The 2,399-nt window shown below is 44.2% G+C and overlaps 3 annotated features.

The window, feature by feature from the left end:
* Positions 1-544: an enhancer, noted in NCBI's record as "OCT4-NANOG-H3K27ac hESC enhancer chr2:102226025-102226568 (GRCh37/hg19 assembly coordinates)". NCBI's record gives its function as "activates a minimal SCP1, AML or CMV promoter by ChIP-STARR-seq in naive H9 embryonic stem cells {active_cell/tissue: H9 hESC(naive)}" and the evidence as "EXISTENCE:reporter gene assay evidence [ECO:0000049][PMID:30033119]".
* Positions 545-1,088: an enhancer, noted in NCBI's record as "OCT4-NANOG-H3K27ac hESC enhancer chr2:102225481-102226024 (GRCh37/hg19 assembly coordinates)". NCBI's record gives its function as "activates a minimal SCP1, AML or CMV promoter by ChIP-STARR-seq in naive and primed H9 embryonic stem cells {active_cell/tissue: H9 hESC(naive and primed)}" and the evidence as "EXISTENCE:reporter gene assay evidence [ECO:0000049][PMID:30033119]".
* Positions 1,633-2,178: an enhancer, noted in NCBI's record as "H3K27ac hESC enhancer chr2:102224391-102224936 (GRCh37/hg19 assembly coordinates)". NCBI's record gives its function as "activates a minimal SCP1, AML or CMV promoter by ChIP-STARR-seq in primed H9 embryonic stem cells {active_cell/tissue: H9 hESC(primed)}" and the evidence as "EXISTENCE:reporter gene assay evidence [ECO:0000049][PMID:30033119]".

The following is a 2,399-nucleotide window of genomic DNA, read 5'->3' as shown; positions in this document are numbered from 1 at the left end:
ATAGGGCCCTCTCTAATGGCCTCATTTAACTTTGATTACCTCCTCAAAGACCTACCTCCAAATGCAGTCACATCTGAGGTACTGTGGGCTAGAGCTTCAACATACAAATTTTGGAGGGACCCAATTCAGCCCATAAAACTCAACAATAATAAACTTCTGGATGCTCCAGCCAACTGTCAATTGTACAATGTTTAGGAAATTTAGAATGCTTGATAGTCTTCATTTCTCGTAGAAATTGGATCAGTAGGCTCTTTCTATCAATCTTGGAGAACATCACCGCTTCATCAGAGCAGATAAAAACAAAGGCAGGTAATGAACACGAAGCCGCAGAAGCAGCCCCAGGCAAGTCTGCTGAGAGAAAGAGGAAAGTCAATTCCCCTAACAGACTGGGCTCACCTTGACGGAGAACTCAGTGGAATCCTAGACCTCACCCTTTCCCAGACTGATTACCCATGCTCCTTGGGGCAGGGATTGGGTAAGGGTCTCAGAGGTTCACCTGAGCTACCACTCTTCCTTCATAAAGGTTCCTCTCCAGGGAGGCTCAGTGAGTTAGGTTCTAGGCACATTTACATTTGAAAAGCACTGGGGTGTAAGAATGAGGAAAGAAAAGGCACAGATCCTGTCTTTGATCTTTTGAAACAACTTGAAGATTTGGCAAATTGCCCAGATAAAAAATAGATAATTAAATTATATACAACATCAACATACGTTGCATGTAACACAAGAGGTTATTTTTATTTGAAAAACTGCAGTTGGAAATTGGAGTGAAGGACAACTGAAATATTTCAAAGGTGCCAAAGGAGGAGCCCATTTAAAGTAATCCTATATTGGATCTTTCTTTTTTAAGTCAATCTACTGCCACTATTTTGTTGTGAAAGACATTCTGATTTTCATGTTAAACAACACAGCCCAGAGGAGCAGTAGGAGAAGAAAGAATCAAACTGAGTTGGGGCTAAACTGACTCTTGCCTCATTCAACACCCAGCAGATCTTTGTTCTGTCCTTCCAACATCAGGAGCTCATTTTCCCACCTTGGGGACTTTGCATTTGCCATATCCTGTGCTTGAAACCTTTTTTCCTCATAATTCCAGTGATTTACTCATTTTCGTCATTCACATCTCAACTCAAATGCCACACATAGGTAGAGAGGCTTCCCCCATTCCCCATTCTAATCCCAACTGTCTCTGTTCCAGGGATTCTCCACGTGTGGTCCCCAGACCACCAGCAGCAGTTTTACTTGGAAACCTGTTAGAAATGCAAATTCAGTCCCACCAACACTGTAAAAGTGTTCCTATTACTCCACATCCTCTCCAGCACCTGTTATTTCCTGACTTTTTAATGATCTCCATTCTAACTGGTGTGAGATGGTATCTCATTGTAGTTTTGATTTGCATTTCTCTGATGGCCAGTGATGATGAGCAAAAAAAAAAAAAAAAAAAAAAAAGAAAGAAATGCAAATTCAGGCTGGGCGTGGTGACTCACTCCTGTAATCCCAGCACTTTGGGAGGCCACAGTGGGTGGATTGCTGGAGATGAGCCTAGGCAAGATGGTGAAAAAAAAAAAATTAGCCAGGCATGGTGGCACACGCCTGTAGTCCCAGCTACTCAGGAGGCCAAGGTGGGAGGATTGCTTGAACCCAGGAAGTGGAGGTTACAGTGAGCTGAGATTGTGCCATTGCACTTCAGCTTGTCTGAAAGAAAGAAAGAGAGAGAGAGAAAGAAAGAAAGAAAGAAAGAAAGAAAGAAAGAAAGAAAGAAAGAAAGAAAGGAAAGAAAGAAAGAAAGAGAGAAATGCAAATTCCGTGGCACTACTCCAGACCTATTGGACTAGGAGCCCTGAGGGTGGGCCCAGCTGATCTCATGCACGCCCAAGTTTGAGGACCATGATTTCGTCCCATTCCTTGAAATTTTTTCTCCATAGCTCCTATCACTCTCAGAAATTATCTGATTTTTTTAAAAAAACTGTTGGCCAGGTGCGATGGCTCACACATGTAACCCCAGTGCTTTGGGAGGCTGAGGGGGGTGGATCACCTGAGGTCAGAAGTTCGAAAACAACCTGGCCAATGTGGTGAAACCCCAGCTCTACTAAAAATTCAAAAATTAGCCGGATGTGGTGGTGCGCACCTGTAATCCCAGCTACTCAGGAGGCTGAGGCAGGAGAATTGCTTGAACCCGGGAGGCGGAGGTTGTGGTGAGCTGAGATTGTGCCATTGCACTCCAGCCTGGGCAGCAAGAGTGAAACTCCATCTCAAATAAAAAACCAAAACTGTCACATTGTATTAGTCGGGCATGGTGGTGGGCGCCTGTAGTCACAGCTGCTCAGGAGTCTAAAGCACAAGAATCGCTTGAACACGAGAGGTGGAGGTTGCAGTGAGCCAAGATTGCACCACTGCATTCTGGC

The sequence above is a fragment of the Homo sapiens genome, chromosome 2 (genome assembly GCF_000001405.40).
Source record: "Homo sapiens chromosome 2, GRCh38.p14 Primary Assembly".
NCBI lineage: Eukaryota > Metazoa > Chordata > Mammalia > Primates > Hominidae > Homo > Homo sapiens.
Note: the sequence above shows the minus strand (reverse complement) of the source record. Positions and strands in the feature narration are given on the sequence as shown.